Consider the following 20125-nt stretch of genomic DNA (forward strand, 5'->3'; position numbering starts at 1 on the left):
ATCCCCCATCCGTGTAAGCCTTCATGGCTCAAGGGCAGCTCTCTTTCCCTCCACTAGGACTCTCCAAGTACCAGAGAAGCTAGACCTGTTGCATTCCATTGGGCCCAAGTCTTTCCTCAAGAACTTAACTTACATCTCCTTTCTCAAAGAGCCCCACAGAGCTGGCCCTCCCAGAACTCAGGCAACTCAAGTCTTCACCCTTAACATCAAAAACTATTTCAGGCCAGGCAAGGTGGCTCAGGCCTATAATCCCAGCACTTTGGGGAGGCTGAGGCAGGAGGATCACTTGAGGCCAGGAATTTGAGACCAGCCTGAAAACATAGCGAGACCCTGTTTCTATAAAAAATAAAAAGCTAGCCGGGTGAGGTGGCTCACACCTATAGTCTCAGCTACCTGAGAGGCTGAGGTGGGAGGACAGCTAGAGCCCAGGACTTGGAGGTTAAAGTGAGCTATGATTGCGCCACTACACTCCAGCCTGGGCAACAGAGTGAGACTCTGTCAAAGAAAAAGAAAGGAAAGAAAAACATTTCAAATGGTAGATTTTTTTCAGCTTCAGATTTTCTTTTTTGGCGGGGGCGGTGGGGGTGGGGGCCAAGGTCTCGCTCCATTGCCCAGGTTGGAGTGCAGTGGTGCAATCATAGCTCACTGCAACCTCTAACTCCTGGGCTCAAGCGATCCTCTAGAGTAGACAGGTGGTCAGCACCATGCCAGCTAATTTTTTAATTTTAAACTTTTTTTCTATAGGTGAGGTCTCCCTATGTTGCCCAGGCTGGTCTCAAACTCCTGGCCTCATGCAATCTTCCCATCTTGGCCTCCCAAGGTACTGGGATTGCAGGTGTGAACCATCATGCCCAGTCCAGAATTTTGATTCAGGTCTTCACCAAGTACCCCATTGCATTCTGAGAGGAGGATGTCAATCCAGCCCGTCAGGCCACAGCGACATCAAGGCAAATGCTGGCAGCATTTGAAACCATTCAAGGGGCTACGTGTATTGCAGCAGGACCATTCACCATGATCTCTGGTTTGATGGCATAGGTGGGTTTTCTTTTTTTTTTTTTAATATATTATACTTTTAAGTTATAGGGTACATGTGCACAACGTGCAGGTTTGTTACATAGGTATACATGTGCCATGTTGGTTTGCTGCACCCGTCAACTCGTCATTTACATTAGGTATTTCTCCTAATGCTATCGCTCCCCCAGCCCCCCACCCCTGACAGGCCCCGGTGTGTGATGTTCCCACCCTGTGTCCAAGTGTTCTCATTGTTCAATTCCCAGGCATAGGTGGGTTTTCAGTGTCATCTAGATCTTTTGGGATGCTGCCTGCAGCATAGGTAAAAGGAAGACCACGTGGCCTGTCAAGTCATAACAAGCACAGGGCAGGACTCTGGGAGGCAGCATGGCATCGTGGCAAAGGGTGCCAGGCTCTGGCGTTCACTCTCTGAGATGACTTTGAGAAAGTACATAACCCCTCTGGGCCTCTGTTTCCTCATCTGTAAAACTGGGATAGTAATACTCCCTTCCTTGTAAGTGTTTATAAGAACTGAATATAGAACAATGCCTCGCACATGGTAAGACCTCAATAATATTAGCTGGGTTTTTTTGTTTGTTTTGTTTTGTTTTGTATTTCTTGAGACGGAGTCTCACACTGTTGCCTGGGCTGGAGTGCAATGGCGCGATCATGGCACATGCAACCTCCGCCTCCCGGGTTCAAGCGATTCTTCTTGCCTCAGCCTCCCAAGTAGTTGGGATTACAGCTACTGTAAGCCTGCCACCATGCCCGGCTAATTTTTTTTTTTTTTGTATTTTTAGTAGAGGAGGGGTTTCACCATGTTGGCCAGGCTGGTCTCGAACTCCTGACCTTGTGATCCGCCCGCCTCAGCCTCCCAAAGTGTTGGGATTAAAGGCATAAGCCACCGCACCCGGCCAATAATGTTAGCTGTTGTTACTATTTTTCTTTAAGCCATGAAGCAGTGTAAGTAGAGATGCAGCCACCAGGCAGGAGGCAAAGAGCTTTGTGCCTCCCTTGTAGCTTCCTGCCTTTCATGTGGGTCTTGAGGCTACATTTTGGACACAACAGGGAGGGAGGGGGATTACTATTCCAAAGATATCGATCCACTTCTCAACGAACATTTACAAGTTTAACTGTACCTCCAAATTTGTGGGTATCTTTTTGAAGACCCTCTTGGGGCCTCTGAGATGACAAAACCAGTCTGATTCCTGCTGAAGCCTTCTTAGTTGCCAAGATCAAGTGCAAGTTCTTAAGCTATTTTCTCTCAGCTCCAAACCTATTGGTGGCTTTGGAACAAACCTATTGCTGGAGCTATTTTCTCTCAGCTCCAAACCTATTGCTGGAGCTGGAACTCTCCAAACCATCTCTCTGCTTTACCAGCTGCTCCCTGTGAGGGGCCTGTGAGGGCAACTGAGGCTGGAGGAGGAAGAAAGGACTTGCTCTTTCTTATCTACTTCCTGTTCCTACACACATCACCCCAGGAACACAACTTTACTCTAGCGTAGCAGCAGCTGAATCTAGTTTTGCGATTCTTTCCAATTCTTGCACGACCAGCTTCACAGAACCTCCCCCAACCCAAGACAACAGCTCTCCTTCCTCAGAGGTCTATGTCCCAGGTCCACAGGGCCCCCTCCTCTTACTTTTCTTTTTAAAAAACTGTTTTCTATATATAATTCGCATACTATACAATTTATTCACTTAAAGTGTGCAATCCAGTGGTTTTAGTATATCACAAATATATGCATCACCACAGCTAATTTTAGAATATGTTCATCAATTCAAAAGAATACAGGAAAATAAAATAACGAGTGTTGGAGACGATGTACAGAAGCTGGGAACTCTTCTGCACCACTGGTGGGAATCAAAATGATGCCAAGGCGGGTGGATCACGAGGTCAGGAGTTCGATACCAGCCTGACCGACATGGTAAAACCCCATCTCTACTAAAAATACAAAAATTAGCCGGGCGTGCTGGCATGCACCTGTAATCCCACTTACTCAGGAGGCTGAGGCAGGAGAATCGCTTGAACTCGGGAGGCGGAGGTTGCAGCGCCACTGCACTCCAGCCTGGGTGACAGAGCAGGACTCCATCTCGAAAGAAAGAAAGAAAGAAAAAAAGAGGGCGGGGGAGGGAGGGAAGGAAGGAAGGGGAAAGGAAAGGAAGGAAAGGAAGGAAGAAAGGAAGGGAAGGAAAGGAAAGAAGGAAAGGAAGGAAGAAAGGAAGGGAAGGAAGGGAAGGAAGGGAAAGAAAGGAAAGAAAGGAAGAAAGAAAATGATGCAACCACTGTGGAAAACAGTATGGTGGTTTCTTTAAAAATTAAAAATAGGCCGGGCGCAGTGGCTCACGCTTTTAATCCTAGCACTTTGGGAGGCCAAGGTGGGCAGATCACTTGAGGTCAGGAGTTCAAGACCAGCCTGGCCAACATGTGAAACCCCAGCTCTACTAAAAATACAAAAATTAGCTGGGTGTGGTGGCATATGCCTGTAATCCCAGCTACCCGGGAGGCTGAGGCACAAGAATGCTTGAACCTGGGAGGTGGAGGCTGCAGTGAGCCAAGATGTGCCACTGCACTCCCACCTGGGCAACAGAGCGAGACTCCATCTCAAAAATAATAAATAAATAAGTGCAAGTCCAAAAAACATTTAAAAATAGAATTATCACATGATCCAGCAATTCTTCTTCTGAGTTATTTATACACACAAAAAAAGTGAAAGCAGGCATATTAGTCTGTTCTCATGCTGCTAATAAAGACATACCTGAGACTGGGTAATTTATAAAGTAAAGAGGTTTAATTGACTCACAGTTCCACATGGCTGGGGAGGCCTCACAGTCATGGCAGAAAGCAAATGAGAAGCAAAGTCACATTTTACATAGTGGCAGGCAAGAGAGCGCTTGTGCGGGGGAATTCCCATTTATAAAACCATCAGATCTTGTGAGACTTATTCATTACCAAGAGAACAGCATGGGAAAGAACCGCACCGGTGATTCAATTACCTCTCACTGCGTCCCTCCCATGACACGTGGGAATTATGGGAGCTACAGTTCAAGATGAGATCTGCGTGGGGGTCACAGCCAAACCATATCAGCATGGTCTCAGACAGGTATTTGTACACCCACATTTGCAGCAGCATTATTCATGATTGCCAAAGTATGGAAGCAAGCTAAGTGCCTATCAGTTGATAAAGGGAATGTGGTCTCTTCACATAATGGAATATCATTCAGCCCTAAAAATGAAGGAAATTGGCCTGGCACAGTGGCTCACGCCTATAATCCCAGCACTTTGGGAGGCCGAGGCGGGCAGATCACGAGGTCAGGAGATCGAGACCATCCTGGCTAACACAGTGAAACCCAGTCTCTACTACAAATACAAAAAAAAATTAGCCGGGTGTGGTGGCAGGCGTCTGTAGTCCCAGCTACTCAGGAGGCTGAGGCAGGAGAATGGCGTGAACCCAGGAGGGGGAGCTTGCAGTGAGTCAAAATCGCGCCACTGCACTCCAGCCTGGGTGACAGAGCGAGACTCCATCTCAAAAAAAAAAAAGTAGTAAATCCTGACCCATGCTACAGCATAGATGAACCTTGAAGATATCAGGCCAAGTCCGATCAGCCAGTCTCAAGAGGACAAATATTATGTGACTCCTCTTATATGAGGTACCTAGAGGATCAAATTTATAGAGACAGAAAGTAGAATGGCAGCTACCAGGGGCTGGGGGAGAGGGGAGAGGGAACTGCGAAGTCAATGGGTCCAGGGTTTCATGGGTACAGAGTTTCAGGTTTGCAAGATGAAAAGTGTTCTGGAGATGGATGGAGTTTGAGGTTGCAGTGAGCTGTGATGGCACCACTGCACTGCAGCCTGGGAAACAGAGTGAAACCTCCTCTCAAAGAAGAAAAAAATTGTTACCTAGTCATAAAGTATTACCTGGGTAACTGAACAGGTAAACGCTCTAAAAAACCATGGAGGCAGCAACTATAGAGAGCTATGTCCATTCCTAAGACCAAGGGAACCAAGGAAGAGGCTCTAATTATTACATCAGTGAAAATCTACTTAATACCACTGAATTGTATGCTTAAAAATAGTGAAAAGAGTAAATTTGATGTTAGGTGTATTTTACCACAATTAAAAAAGAAACCCTATACTCTTTGTCACTTCCTGGTACCCTTTAACTCCTAGCCCCTGGCAAGCACCAATCTACCTTCTGTCTTTATAGAGTTCCCTATTCTGGATTTTCCTAGGAATGAAATAATATATGGGCTTTGGTGATTGACTTTTTTGACTTAGCATAATACTTTCAAGGTTCATCCAAGTTGTAGCACAGGTACTTCCTTTTCATGTCTGAATCACCTCTTCTAAAGTTTAATCATTACAACCTCTTCCTTTGGTTCCCTTGGTCCTAGTGAGAGGTGACAATGTGTTAGCAGCCCTCGCTGGCTCTCAGTGCCTCCCTGGCCTCGGCGTTCACTCTGGCCACGCTTGAGGAGCCCTTCAGCCCATCGCTGCACTGTGGGAGCCCCTCTCTGGGCTGGCCGAGGTGGGAGCTGGCTCCCTCTGCTTGCCAGGAGGTGTGGAGGGAGAAGCACGGGCAGGAGTCAGGGCTGTGCGCGGCGCTCGCAGGCGCTCGCACTCAGAGCAGCTGGCCCGAGGCAATGAGGGACTTGGCACCCGGGCCAGCAGCTGTGGAGGGTGCACCGGGTCCCCCAGCAGTGCCGACCCACCCACCCCGCACTCAAATTCTCACAGGGCCTCAGCCACCTCTCCACAGGGCAGAGCTAGGGACCTGCAGCCCGCCATGCCTGAACCCCTCTCCCCCTGTGGGCTTCCACACTGCCCAAACCTCCCCGACGGGCACCGCCCCCTGCTCCGCCGTGCCCCGTCCCATCAACCACCCAAGGGCTGAGGAGTGCAGGCGCGCATCGGCAGGACTGGCGAACAGCTCTGGCACGGGATCCACTAGGCGAAGCCAGCTGGGCTCCTGAGTTGGGTGGGGGCTTGCAGAACTGTTATGACTAGCTGGAGGATTGTATATGCACCAATCAGCACTCTGTCTAGCTTGGGGTTTGTGGATGCACCAATCAGCACTCTGTGTCTAGCTCAGGGATTGTAAATGCACCAATCAGCACGCTGTCAAAACTGACCAATCAGCTCTCTGTAAAACGGACCAATCAGCTCTCTGTAAAATGAACCAATCAGCAGGATGTGGGTGGGGCCAAATAAGGGAATAAAAGCAGACTGCCCAAAGGGACAGTGGCAATCAGATTGGGTCTGGTTACTGATTGTGGAGCCTTTGTTGTTTGGCTGTTCTTGTTACTGCTCACTGTTTGGGTTGGCAGTGACCTTGTGAGCTGTAACACTCACCACGAAGGTTTGTAGCTTCACTTTTGAAGCCAGTGAGTCCACGAACCCACCTGAAGGAATGAAGAACTCTGGACGTGCTGTTTTTATGAGCTGAAGCCTCATGGTGAAGGTCTGCAGCTTCACTCTTGAAGTCAGTGAGACCGTGAACCCACCAGAAGGAAAAAACTCCGGTCGTACCATCTTTAAGAACTGTAACACCACGAGGGTCTGCGGCTTCATTCCTGAAGTCATGTTGAAGTCAGCGAGACCAAGAACCCACCAATTCTGGACACACTAGGAATGGACATAGCTCTCTAAAGTTGCTACCACCATGATTCTTTCGAGTTTTACCTGTTCAGTTACTCTGGTAATAGCTTTATGTCTAAGTAACAAATTCTTTTTTCTTGTTTGAGAGGAGATCTCACTCTGTTGCCCAGGCTGCAGTGCAGTGGTACGATCACAGCTCATTGCAACCTTGAACTCCTGGGTGTACGGAATCTTCATACCTCAGCCTTCTGAATGGCCAGGACTACCCATACACGCCACCACACCTGGCTAATTAAAATTTTTTTTTCGCAGAGATGGGGTGTCTGTTGCCAAGGCTGGTCTCGAACTCCTGGCCTTGAGGGATAGTCTCTTGCCTGGGCCTCCCAAAATTCTAGGATTACAGGCACAAGCCACTGCTCCTGGCCAACAATTCTTTATATTAAATTCTTTCTGTTTAACTCACTAATGTGATTTCTGTCTCTTCACTAAACCCTGATGGACACTTGAGAAAACTCAGACTCATTTGAATCGGTGGGCTGCTCAAGCCGCTGCCCATTTTTAATGTTCCATTTTCTCCTTTGCTCTCTGCCTGCCCCTTCTTCCTTCTGATTATGGCCATCTAGCTCTTATTTTTCACCATCTGCAGCTGAAGTTAATCAGGAAATAATATCTCCTCCCCCCAAATTCCAGGATTGCAACGTTTAAAGAGCAGCTCCTTCCAGTGTGGACCCGTAAGTACTGATGCCCTCGAAGATAACGGATCTGTAGTTAATTCAGCAGCTTCCGAATCTTTGGGCAAATGGGATTGAGTCTTTCTAATTTAGAGCAACACTGCAAGATGAAATCTCACCCAGCATCCAGGCTTGCAAACATGCTGAAGACATATTTCCATGCCCGATCTTCAAAATTATGCAAGAGTGTCTTTTTTTTTTTTTAAGACATGTTTCTTTTTAATGAAAATGCAATAGTTACTGATTGCCAACCTTGTTATTGAAAGTTTATACTTTTCTAGGTGCTGTCACAAACGGTTCATTTGAGCCCCCAAACCATCTTAGAAGGGCAGTACCACTTATTTCCACTGAGCTGAAGAGAGCCAGGCTTAAAGAATGTGAGGTTTGCTCGATGTTAAACAGCCACTTGTAGTTAGTAGCGCGAGCAGGATGGGAGCCCGAGTGTTCTGAAGATGTGAAGACTTTCAAGGAAAATGCCTGCAGCTTTGGTGAGATTGTGGAAAGGGGGCAGAGTCGAGGCGGGGGCGGGGGCTGGGAGGAGGCAGGTAGAAATTGATACAACCTTTCTGAAAAGTATTTGGAAATATGTGTACCAACATTCCCTTCCAGATAATAAAACCATTTCTATTAACAGCTAGATCAATGCAACAGAATAAATCATCCGGAAATACATATGTAGTATGTTCTTATATATTCAATCTTCAATTTTCTTTTTTTAAATTTTTTATTGAGATAGGGTCTCACTCTGTCACCCAGGCTGGAGCTCAGTGGCTCACTGCAAGCTTCACCTCCCCAGTGATCCTCCCACCTCAGCCTCCTAAGAGCTGGGACCACAGGCACATGCTACCATGCCTGACTAGTTTGTGTGTGTGTGTGTGTGTGTGTGTGTGTGTGTGTGTCTTTAGTAGACATGGGGTTTCAGCAAGTTACCCAAGCTGGTCTCAAACTCCTGGACTCAAGCAATCTGCCTGCCTCAGCCTCCCAAAGTGCTGGGATTACAGGTGGGAGCCACCACGCCCTGCCCAGGTCCCTAATTTTTGATAGTTCAACTTACAATTTTTCCATTTTGCAATGGTGTGAAAACATAACGCATTCAGTAGAAACTGTACTTTGAGTACCCACACAACTATTCTGCCTTCACTTTCAGTACCATCACCAATAAGTTACATGAGCTATCCAACACTTCATAAAATAGACTTTGTGTTAGATGATTTTGCCCAACTGTAGGCTAACGTAAGTGCTCTGAGCATGCTTCGGGTAGGCTATGATGTTTACTAGGTTACGTATATGGTATTAAATACATTTATGGGCTGGGCAAGGTGGCTCACACCTGCAATCCCAGCACTTTAGGAGGCCGAGGCGGGTGAATCACTTGAGGTCAGAAGTTCAAGGCCAGCGTGGCCAACATGGTGAAACCTCGTCTCTACTAAAAATACAAAAATTAGCCTGGTGTGGTGGTATGTGCCTGTAGTCCCAGCTACTCGGGAGGCTGAGACAGGAGAGTCACTTAACCCAGGAGGCAGAGGTTGCACTAAGCCGAGGTCACACCCCTGCACTCCAGCCTGGGTAAAAGAGCGAGACTGCATCTCTAAATAAATAAATACACTTATGACTTAACGATATTTTCAACTTACAATGGATTTATCAGAACATAACCCATCATAAGTCAAGGAGCATCTATAGTAAATTGTATATATATGAAGCAGTGGGTTCTTTAATTATTAATGTTAGAACCACTGGAAATAGTATTTAAGTTTGAGGCTTACCTTGACTTACATGGTGTTACATCTTGATAAACCCTGTCTCCAAAAAAAGAAAGGTCATGATTAATCAGACTTCAGCAAGCTAAGAGATCATAAAGTACAAGATGAATACACTGTATACAAATAATTGTTTTCTGAGGATCTCACCCTGTCACCCAGGCTGGAGTGCAGCAGTGTGATCACAGCTCACTGCAGCTTCAACCTTCCTGGGCTCAAGTGATCCTCCTACCTCAGCCTCTTGAGTAGCTGGGACCACAGGTGCCTGCCACTATGCCCAGGCTAATTTTTTTTTTTTTGGTAAAGATTGAGGGGTTGCCATGTTGCCCAGGGTGGTCTTGAACCCCTGGGCTCAAGTGATTCTCCCTCCTGGACCTCCCAAAGTGGTAGGATTATATGGGTTTTTTGTTTGTTTTGAGACAAGGTCTCAAAACACTGTCACCCAGGCTGGAGTACAGTGGTGCAATCATGGCTCACTGCAGCCTTGACCTCCTGGGCTCAAGCGATGCTCCCACCTCAGCCTCCTGAGTAGCTGGGAGCAAAGGTGTGTGCCATCACACCCAGCCAATTTTTTTATTTTTTGTAGCGACAAGATTTCACTGTGTTTACCCAGGCTGATCTCCAACTCCTGGACCCAAGCAGTCCTCTTGCCTCGGCCTCCCAAATTGTTGGGATTACAGGCATGAGCCACCACGCCTGGCCAAATAAAATTTTTAAAACATCTTTATATCAAAAAGAATTTTCGAAAGGGAAATTATGAAGAGAAAATTTTCAACAAATGTAATCACAGGGTTACTATCCACAGTGTATAAGATGTTTTTATAAACAAACGATGCTAATAGCTCAGTGGAAGAATGCACAGAGAACTTGGGCAGATCTCAAATGAAGCATTTGTGAAAAATCAAGATGTCATGTTTGGGGAGGTTTTTGTTTTTGTTTTTTGCCTATCAATCAGGAAAGGCATTTATAATTAAATAGAGTAACAACCTTTTTGAAATGCATTTTGTCATTTTCCAGTAAGAGTTTTTTTAAATGTTCATGCCCCTTGCCTAGTAACTGCTTCTGGGAATCTATGCTGAGGAAATAATCATAAATGCAACAGCATATTTTACATATAAAGGTATTCATCGTATGGTTAATTATGTAAGAGAAAATTGGAATGAAACTTTGATTACAACAATAAGGAAATAATTAGATAAATAACACAATGCAATATTATGTAGTCATTAAAAATTAAATAGTATTTTAAAGCACAAGATAATGTTTGCAATATGTTAAGTGAAATAGGTAAGAGATCCAAATTGGCTGATTCTAATGGTATACTAATCTTACCCAAAAAATTGGAGAGAAACACTGTATACTAAAATATTGAATAGTGACTCTGAACTCCAAAAATCTAAGACAGTTCTCAGTTAATTTAGAAAGCTTATTTTGCCAAGGTTGGGCCGGGCGTGGTGGCTCACATCTGTAATTCCAGCACTTTGGGAGGCTGAGGCAGGCAGATCACGAGGTCAGGAGATCGAGACCACCCTGGCTAACACGGTGAAACCCCGTCTCTACTAAAAATACAAAAAAATTAGCCGGGCGTGGTGGCGGGCACCTATATTTCCAGCTACTCGGGAGGCTGAGGCAGGAGAATAGCTTGAACCCAGGAGGCGGAGCTTGCAGTGAGCCGAGATTGCGCCACTGCACTCCAGCCTGGGCGACAGGGTGAGACTCCATCTCAAAAAAAAAAAAAAGTATTTTGCCAAGGTTGAAGACACATGCCCATGACACAGCCTCAGGAGGTCCTGACAACGTGTGCCCAAGGTGGGTCAGAGCACACTTTGGTTTTATACATTTTAGGGAGTCATGAGACATCAACCAACATATGTAAGATGAACACTGATTGGTCCGGAAAGGCAGGACAACTTGAAGCGGGGAAGGGGCTTCCAGGTCATAGGTAGGTAAGAGACAAATGGCTGCATTCCTTTGAGTTTCTGATTAGCCTCTCCAAAGGATGCAATCAGATATACATCTATCTGTGAGCAGAAGGGTGACTTTGAATAGAATGGGAAGCAGGTTTGCCCTGAGCAGTTCCCAGCTTGATTTTTCCCTTTGGCTTAGTGATTTGGGGGACCCAAGATATTTTCCTTGCACATGACTATCTCTGGATCCTGGGATTGTACGTGATTTGAATTTTTTAATTTATCTTTTTGTTTTCAAATGTTCTATAAAAGCCAAGTCCAATTTTTATGAGAAAATTTTAAATATCAAAAATCGACATGACTCATCTCCCAACCAATGTTGGATGTGGGGCTGATAAGTTTCACTCCTCCAGCAAACTATTGGATCGTGTTGCAACTCTCTTCTTGGGGGAATGGCTGACTTGCCAGGAATGGGAGACAAATGAGGGTGTTACCAGGGAGGCAGGTTAATTTAAGGCTCTTCAGGAAAAGGTACCATCTGTGATGCAAATCCCATAGGAGATCTAGAGTGTGGTAGAACATGAATTAAAATATCCAGCACACCCAGATGCATATTAATGAGTCTGAGATAGAGATCGATCGATATGCAGTGATTTCTCTCCTCATCAGAAGCAGCTCCGTTTCCTCTCAACCTTTCACTCTGCTACATTTATTGTGCACTTACCACCTACCAGAACCAGATGTTGTTACAGGAGCTGGGAATACATCCATGAACAGACTAATCCCTGCCCCCATGGAACTGATATTCTACTTGGGACTTAGGCATTAAACCAGTAATTGCATAATTATTTTATTAATTACAATTGTGATAGATGCTTTGTAGAAGTACTACAGGGAGCCATGGAATCATTTACAGTGAATATCAGTTGGGATTGTGTTTGGCTGCAACAGACACCTAACAAGATCCAAGAATATTTCTTTACCATATGAAGGCAGTATAGATGGAGGAACCCAGGGCTGGTATGGCAGTTCTGGTGTCACAGGGGATACAGGCTCCTCATCTTTTGGATTCACCATCCCAACATGTGGCTTCCATCTTCAAGGCTACCTCCTGGTCCAGAATGGCTGCCGGAGCTCCAGCCATCGTGTTCACATTGCAGGCTAGAAGAAAGAACAGCAAAAGGTTGGGCTGGGCGTGGTGGCTCACGCCTGTAATCCTAGCACTTTGGGAGCCTGAGATGGGCAGATCACAAGGTCAGGAGTTCGAGACCAGCCTGGCCAACATGGTGAAACCCTGTCTCTACTAAAAATACAAAAATTAGCCAGACATGGTGGCACATGCCTATAATCCTAGCTACTCAAGAGGCTGAGACAGGAAAATTGCTTGAACCCAGGAGGCAGAGGTTGCAGTGAGCCTAGATTGTGCCACTGCACTCCAGCCTGGGCAACAGAGTGAGACTCCATCTCAAAAAAAAACAAAAAACAAAAAAAAAAAAACAAAAGGGTACCTCTGCCAGCCAAGTCAGCCTCCCTCTGCTTATATCTCACTGGGCAAAAGTAAAATTTTCCTTGTAAACTGATTATAAACCAGCTCATGTTTCCCGAGCATCTGCAATGTGTCTGGCACTTTACAAAACAACTTTGCAAGGCGGTATCATCAATTCTATTTAACTTTGGGAGGCTGAGGTTGGAGGGTCGCTTGAGCCCAGGAGTTTGAGACCATCCTGGGCAACAAAAGCGAGACCTTGCTTGTAAATTATAAAAATAATTTAAAAAATCCACTTAACAGATGAGAAAAGTAAGGCTTCACAGGTTTAAAGAACTTGCCCAAAAATCACACAGCCAGTCAGTGGTAGCGCTGACTTCCTGGAGCCCATACTCTTTCCATTGTACTTTTCTGCCTTCCCATCAGCAACTGAAAACGAAGCAAGAAAGCTCCTCAGATTTGTCATAGACTATATTTAAAGAAAGGCCACATTTTTCTTATTTAAAATGCATTAAACAATGCAACCAATTAAAAGAACTGAGATGGATTTGTACAAAAGCAGGGACTAGGTCTGTTTTGTTCACTGCTATATTCCCAATGCCTAGAACCATGTCTGGCAAACATACTGGCATGGGAAGAACATTTCCATAACCCCTGAATGTTCTGTGCCCCTTTCCAATTAATCCCTACCCTCAGAAGCAACCACTATTCTCATGCTTATTACATTAGTTTTGCCTCTTCTTGACTTTCATATAAATGAAATCATACATCTATGCGTTTTGACTTCTTTTGCTCAACAATTGCTTTTGAGATTTATCCGTTGTTATGTGTATCAACATTTCATGATTTTTTTTTATTGCTGTGTAGTATTATATTGTTTGAATATACCATGGTTTTCTTATCCATTCCTCTTGTGGACATTTGGGATATTTACAGTTGGAGAATAGTATGATTAAATATTTTGTGTTGTTGATTTGTTTTTGTTTTTTTGAGATGGGAGTCTCTTTTGCTCAGGCTTGAATGCAGTGACACAATCTCGGCTCACTGCAACCTCTGTCTCTCGGGTTCAAGCCATTCTCCCACCTCAGCCTCCCAAGTCACTGGGATTACAGGCACCCGTCACCACACCTGGCTAATTTTTGTATTTTTAGTAGAGACAGGGTTTCATTATGTTGCCCAGGCTGGTCTCAAACCCTAACCCCAACTGATCCACCCACCTTGGCCTCCAAATTGCTGGGATTAGAGGCGTGAGCCACCTCACCCGGCCAAGATGTTAAGAGCATTCTTGTACCAGCCTCTTTTTTGGTAGACATTTCCCTACATTTCTCTTGAGTCTGCATCTAGGAGTGGAATTTCTGGGTCATAGGGTAGGTGTACGTTTAGCTTGATAAACTGGCAGTTTCCAAAAATCAGTTGCATCCTTTTACATTCCACTACTAATGTATGCATGTGAGATGGAGATCTTTTGCCACTTGTATCATTTTCATAGCACAAACCCAAAACAAACCTAATAAGGATTTGTTAGGATATTTACTGTTAAATCTACTCAAATAAGAATAAGAAAATCTGGAATAAGAAAATCTGAAATGAAATCGCTGGTCTGGAAATTCTCCTAAAAGGCAAGAGGTGTGCTACTCGGGATCTGTGGCATTGTCTGAGAGGTTCTACTGAAGTTTTCCAGGGCAGCGAAATGCTTAGCACCCTGGGCATAGGTTTCAACGGATTGAGCCACAGGGATCAATTTCTCTTTTTCTCGGCCTGTAACTCAAACCTCACATGAGAAGGAGAGGGAGGGAGTGTTAGAAATGTGGAACTGTCAAGTTCATTCATAACAAGCATTGATTACCCACCGTGTGGTCATCACCTCGCTAGACACGATGGTAAAAAGGAAGGATGTGGAAGATTCTGTTCTTGCGCTCAAGTTATCGAGTTGCCCACGATCTAGACGATAGATACAAGATGGCAACTCTTCCTCTGTTCACCATGGAAAGGCTGGTGTTTGTTCTTCTAGATTCTGCCTTTTGCCCTTTCTGTGTTCTATTCTACGTGGGCTCCCCGGGTCATTTCATCTGAGCCCGTGGTTTCAACTAACTAACGCGCCTCCCTCCCAAATCACTACTCATTGAGCTCACTCCTAGGCTCCAGATGCATGTTTTCCAACTACTTCCACCCTCAGCTCCTCTCTACTGCTCATGATTTACATACAATTCCTCAGTAAACTGTGTTAACATTGCCTCTGAGATATAGCCAGAATCCTACCATTTCTCATTGCTTCCCCCATCACGACCCTGTCCAAGCCACAGTCATCTGTGGTCTGCACTATGGTGATACTTCTTCCAAACCAATATCAGTACCATAGTGCTGTTGCCTGCCCTTGATTCATTCCCCTTTCTTTTGGTAATAGAGACTTGAATCTCCTTTGTTGAATGTAACCATCAGCATCCCAGCAGATGATTAATCTAAAGGGGGTTTAGTAAAGGTTACATACAGATGTGTGGGCAGGGTTGAGGGAAAAAGCAGGGCTGATGGTGTGATACACTGTGGCAGGCAACAGAGGGGAGCCATTATCACCTCCAGGGTGGATAATTCTGGAGGTGGAGAAGGGAGAATTTACTAGAACTAGGAGAGAGTAGCTGTGTGAAGAAGGCCAGTTGACAGAAGCTTCAATAAATACATGTAGCCAACCTGCAGCGACCCAGAAGGGCAGGGGCCAGAGGAATAATACCCTTACCTTCCTCCTCCTCCAACCCTCGGGTCTCATTTCCAATGTCTTCTATTTGGTGAATTCAACTGTAAGTCAGAGGACAAGGGATCTGTGGAAGCAGTCCATGCAGGTTGGCCTCTTGAGGTTCAAATCAGGAAGGAAAAGGGTGGAGAGTAGGTCTGGAAGGGCCAACAGAAATGATCTAGCACAGGAAGCCACCTCTCCCCAAATCTCAGTCCACGCGATTTGTGAGGAGCTGTCAGAATGTTCCATGCCCCTTCTCAGGAGAGTGGTTTAGTGATGCACGGGTAACACAAGTTAGACCAATGGGATGTAGTCCTGGGACTTTTGTTGACAGCATCAGGGAAAAGAAACTCCCTTTCTGCTGGAAAGGGTGTGATCTGAAATTGTAAGCAGCCATTCTGCCATCTCATGGGGAAAAGGAAGCCTAAGAACGCAAAGTCAACAGGAAATAGAGTCAAGAAATGGAGGCCGGGTGCGGTGGCTCACGCCTGTAATCCCAGCACTTTGGGAGGCCGAGGTGGGCAGATCACGAGGTCAGGAGATCGAGACCATCCTGGCTAACACGATGAAACCCCATCTCTACTAAAAATACAAAAAATTAGCCGGGCGTGGTGGCGGGCGCCTGTAGTCCCAGCTACTCGGGAGCCTGAAGCAGGAGAATAGCATGAACCTGGGAGGTGGAGCTTGCAGTGAGCCGAGATCGCGCCACTGCACTCCAGCCTGGGCGACAGAGCGAGACTCCGTCTCAAAAAAAAAAAAAAAAAATGGAGAGAAAAAACTTAATCCTAATGTCGTAGTTTAAGCCCCTGAATCCGGCCATGCCTGAAGCCCCAAACTTTTCTATTATGTGAGTCAATGCATTCCATTTGCTGCTTAACCCAGTCTGATTGATGTATTCCATGAAAAAAAGAGAATCTTGAATAATACTGGAAAATGCGAACCCCGTTCCCTGAACCATCATGTAGGATTGCTCACTTCTTCCTCTGCTTTGTCAGCACTTTGCAAATGTCTCAGTGCACAAATACAACTGTATCACAATCACTGTCTCCCCCATCTGTGAGCTCCTCAGGTGGCAGATCTCTATGGACCTTACCCTTGCAAGCCCAACACCCACACAGGGCCTAATACCTCAGGGAAACTAAATTAAGCTAATCTGGTTGTTTGACTTAGGATCTCTCAGGGCCATTTTTTTTGTGTGAACGTGCATCAGACATCTCCAGGCAGGGCTATGGAATGCAGCTGTTTCCAATCTCATTTGATGTGAAAACTCAATTTTTTGGCCAGGTGCAATGGCTCACGCCTATAATCCCAGCACTCTGGGAAGCCAAGGCAGGAGGATTGCTTGAGTTCAGGAGTTTGAGACCAGCCTGGGCAACATTGTGAAACCTTGTCTCTACAAAAAGTAGAAAAATTAGCCAGGCATGGTGGCATGTGCCTGTAGTCCCAACTACTCAGGAGGCTGAGATGGGAGGATCACTTGAGCCTGGATGGTTGAGGCTATGATTGTGCCACTGCACTCCAACCTAGGCAACAGAGCAGACCCATCTCAAAACAAACAAAAAAACACCAAAAAAAAAAAAAAAAACAACCCTCAATTTTTGCAAAAGTTGCTGTGTTAGAGGAATTTAGAGAAAAAATAATTACTATAGTCCTTAGAGTGACCTTGACAAAAGAAGCAGCTTGCCATCAATATTAGTTAAACGAATGAAAGTGAAGAACTTAGTTTAAGACAAGATGGGGAGCAGGAGCAGCACGGTTGGAGGCAGCAGGAACCACAGAAGCAGCAAGCAGGAAGTAGGAGGGGCGATCTGCTGGACATACCTCGGTGACTATGCTGGGCTCAACTGCTGGGGAGCCCTTGGGGTCATAATCCAACCCTGATTTCTTAGTTTACATCTAACAGGGATTAGATGTGCTGTACACATTTTAGTCCATCTTCCTGCCCCATGATGCAGGCGCTGAGTGCCTTTGATGTTAAGCTTCACTGTGCCTCACTTTGCCTCTGAAAGGTCTTGAGTGGGTAATGAGAGCTGATTTTCTTCTAACTGCACATTCCTTTTTTTTTTTTTTTTTGAGACGGAGTCTTGCTATGCTGTCCAGGCTGGTCTCAGACTCCTGGCCTCAACCGATCCTCCCACCTCTGCCTCCTGAGTTAGCTGGGACTACGGGTGCGCACCACTGCGTGACTGCGCGTCCTTGTAGGTGGGAGATGAGCCCAGTTATTTTCCCTGCTGTGTGACCCTGCTTCCTTCTCTGCCGGCTAAGGGAAGAGACACCAGCTGCCTTCCAAGTTGGGCTCAGGAGCTTTGTCATCATAGTTGTTATTGGTGGTAATAATACCTGCCAATGTAAGCCTCGGTCCTATCACTGAAACTCGCTCAACAGCTTAGACCCCGGCTCTTCCCTTTGCGTAATAGTTGTAATCATGTCCCATGGTCTCCTAAGGCGTCGGAGACAAGCAAGACTGCGTGGAAGGGTTTTTACACGAAAAAGAAAGCATTAAACATGTGGATTGTATGACAACGGTAGATAGGGCATAGGGTGAAGAGGAGTAAGAGGAGGAGGGAGAGCGGGAGGAGGGAGAAGAGCACGAGTGGGGAGGAGAGGAGGGGAGGGGATGGGAGGGGAGGGGAAGGAGTGGGTAAGGGGAAGAGGGTTGTACCCGCCAGGGCGGGACCCAGCCTGTGCCGTCCCACACCTTGTGCTAGCTCCAGCTCAGCTACCTGCGGCCGCCTCTCCTCGGGCAATGAGGCGCCGGGAAGCCCACAGCATCTGATAATATCCGGGCCGCCGGTTGCCGGGAGGTGAACCGAGGTAAACTCGCCGCGCGCGGGGCGCAGTGTACATAGTAACCAGCCCTGAGTAAACGTTCGTCATATTCCTATGAGCTGCTCCGGGGACTGTCCTACGGGGCTAGCAGGAAAAGGAGATCGGCTCTCTCCGCTCCCGGTGGAAAACGAGAAGGTCGCCAGAGGTCCTGTTTTCGGGGTGATCTAAAGCCCCCGCCCCAGCGCTACAGCCCAAGCCCCCCACAGGCTGGGGACCAGGAACCCGGAGGAGCGGGAGGAGGGCGCGCGCGGCGAGACACCCCCACCCCGGCCCCCGCGCGCCCCCGCCCCGGTCCCCGCCCGGGTCCCCGCCTTGTCCTGGGCTCTGGCGCCTGCGCCGCCGTGCGCGCGCCCTGCCAGAACAGGAGGGGACGAGGCGGGCGCGCGGCGCCGGCAGCCTAGCTCAGCCGGGACACCGCCCTAGTCCCAGCCCAGGGGGCCGCTCTCGCCGGCGTCGAGGGCGTGGCGGCGAGGCTGCTGCTGCAGGCGGCTCCCGGCTCTGCCTTCGGCCCCGCCCGCCGCCCACCAGGCTCCCAGAGGCCCCGCAGCTCGCGCCGTCCGGCTCCCCGCAGCCCCGTCGGGCAGCCCGGGCCCGTCCGCTGCCCTCCCGGCTCCCGTCCTGCGGCGGCGGGGCGTGCAGGTGAGGCCCCACGGCGCCCGGCCTCTCCAGCAGGTTTGCACCCAGCGCGGGGCGGGGCGGGGCGGGGCGGGTGGGGGGGGTGGTGCATGAAAAGTTAAAAAAAAAAAAAAAAAAAAAAAAGCCGCCCCGAGAAGTCCGGGAGGGGTGGGCACTCCGAGCCGCGGGACCGGGAGATGCTACCGCGCGCGACCTCGCCTCCCGCGACCTCGCCTCCCGCCGCACCCTTCTCGCGCGCGGGGTCTAGTCTGGCAGCCTCGAGGGTGGTGTCCCGGAAAACAAAACAAAAATGTTTTGTCTTCTCCACCAACGATTTTCTCCCACCAAGTGTGTTTGACCTTTTGAAAAGCCGACAGGCCCAGCCTGCCTGTGAAGGCAGGAGCGGTGTAGGGGCGCCTGGAAGGTGGAAGCCCCCTGTCTTTCTCCCTTGCCCCGCTTCCCCCACGGTGCGTGGATCACCATCGCATTAGTGACTCCCTAACTTCTTGAAACTTGTCTGTCTGCTTCTGTCCGCCGCCTGGACAGGTAGGGCAGGAGTGATCTGTTCCAGGTTGATTCTTCTAGCTTCCGTGCAAAATCTGATCATCTCCTTTAGAGATTAGGATTCTAGTGTAGGAAGCAATCCAGATCCGTGTTTCAGATACAAACAAGGATTATTTAAAGTGATGTTTTCCTGTAGTGCTGAAAGCCAAAAATATTCGCTTCCACTTGTTGGAAGCCACCAAGTACACCACATTTATTTGAACTTTTCATAGAAGTCTCTGATGTACTATTTGGCAAAAGAAGCAATTGATTTATCTGTAGCTGTGATTACATACGATGTAAAGTAATTTGTTTTAAGACTATTTCATTGGCTTTGGTTCAATATCTTAAACTCTGTAAACACATAATTCAGGAGCCAGATATGCATCACACAAATGTGTTCTTTTTGGTGGGGATTTAAATTGATCTAGAAATGGGCTTTCCATCCAGGAAGACTGTGAAAAGCTTGAAAACTGAGTCTCTTCTTTAGCCAGGTCATCAGCTTTACATTTTACTGCATTGGCAAGCCTTGCCTTTTCTTTTCTCTTCTCTTCTCTTTTCTTCTTTTTGAGACAAGGCCTCGCTCTGTCATCCAGCTGAAGTGCAGTGGTGCAAACACAGCTCACTGCAGCCTCAACTTCCCAGGATCAAGCGATCCTCCCACCTCTCAGCGTCCTGAGTAGCTGGGACTACAGATGCCGGCTAATTTTTTGTAGAGATTGGGTGTCACTATGTTGCCCAGGCTGTTCTTGAACTCCTGGGCTCAAGCCATCCGCCCACCTCTGCCTCCCAAAGTGCTGAGATTACAGGCATGAGCCACCGCACCCAGCCAAACCTTTTCTCTCTTAGCCTGAAAACAGATTTCAGTGCTTTTCTAGGAAACAAGATTTTTCCTGCTGTTGAAATATAACGTTTGTAA

General features: G+C 47.2%; 1 protein-coding gene and 1 long non-coding RNA gene across 10 annotated transcripts in view, besides 3 other annotated features; one reads left to right on the forward strand and one right to left on the reverse strand.

The window, feature by feature from the left end:
- Positions 1 to 11823: 11823 nt before the first annotated feature.
- On the reverse strand, positions 11824 to 17952 carry RCAN3AS (RCAN3 antisense RNA). Of its 4 annotated transcripts, none has more exons than NR_045409.2 (3): positions 17918 to 17952; positions 15223 to 15281; positions 11824 to 12166 (listed from the first exon to the last, which is right to left on the reverse strand). It is a non-coding gene; the product is annotated as an RCAN3 antisense RNA (long non-coding RNA). The 4 variants fall into 4 exon arrangements; NR_045407.2 differs by having other exon boundaries at positions 15223 to 15333; NR_045408.2 differs by having other exon boundaries at positions 15223 to 15374.
- Positions 17092 to 17191: an enhancer, noted in NCBI's record as "active region_402". NCBI's record gives its function as "activates an Ori minimal core promoter by ATAC-STARR-seq in GM12878 lymphoblastoid cells {active_cell/tissue: GM12878}" and the evidence as "EXISTENCE:reporter gene assay evidence [ECO:0000049][PMID:35858748]".
- Positions 17795 to 17967: a silencer, noted in NCBI's record as "fragment chr1:24828715-24828887 (GRCh37/hg19 assembly coordinates)". NCBI's record gives its function as "represses an EF-1alpha promoter that drives an FKBP-Casp9 reporter gene in an ReSE screen in K562 erythroleukemia cells {active_cell/tissue: K562}" and the evidence as "EXISTENCE:reporter gene assay evidence [ECO:0000049][PMID:32094911]".
- The window catches only part of RCAN3 (RCAN family member 3), a 38697-nt gene continuing 36485 nt past the window's right edge, over positions 17914 to 20125 (forward strand). For 2 of the 6 annotated variants that reach the window (NM_001251979.2, NM_001251984.2), the window contains exon 1: positions 17914 to 18033. The gene's annotated coding sequence lies outside the window, so the exon portion shown is untranslated. Of the gene's footprint in view, positions 18034 to 18405; positions 18721 to 20125 lie in introns of those variants that run through there. The other 4 variants (NM_013441.4, NM_001251983.2, NM_001251977.2 and 1 more) reach the window with 2 other exon arrangements.
- Positions 18249 to 18748: a silencer, noted in NCBI's record as "silent region_433". NCBI's record gives its function as "represses an Ori minimal core promoter by ATAC-STARR-seq in GM12878 lymphoblastoid cells {active_cell/tissue: GM12878}" and the evidence as "EXISTENCE:reporter gene assay evidence [ECO:0000049][PMID:35858748]".

The sequence above is a fragment of the Homo sapiens genome, chromosome 1, assembly GCF_000001405.40.
Source record: "Homo sapiens chromosome 1, GRCh38.p14 Primary Assembly".
Taxonomy (NCBI): Eukaryota; Metazoa; Chordata; class Mammalia; order Primates; family Hominidae; genus Homo; species Homo sapiens.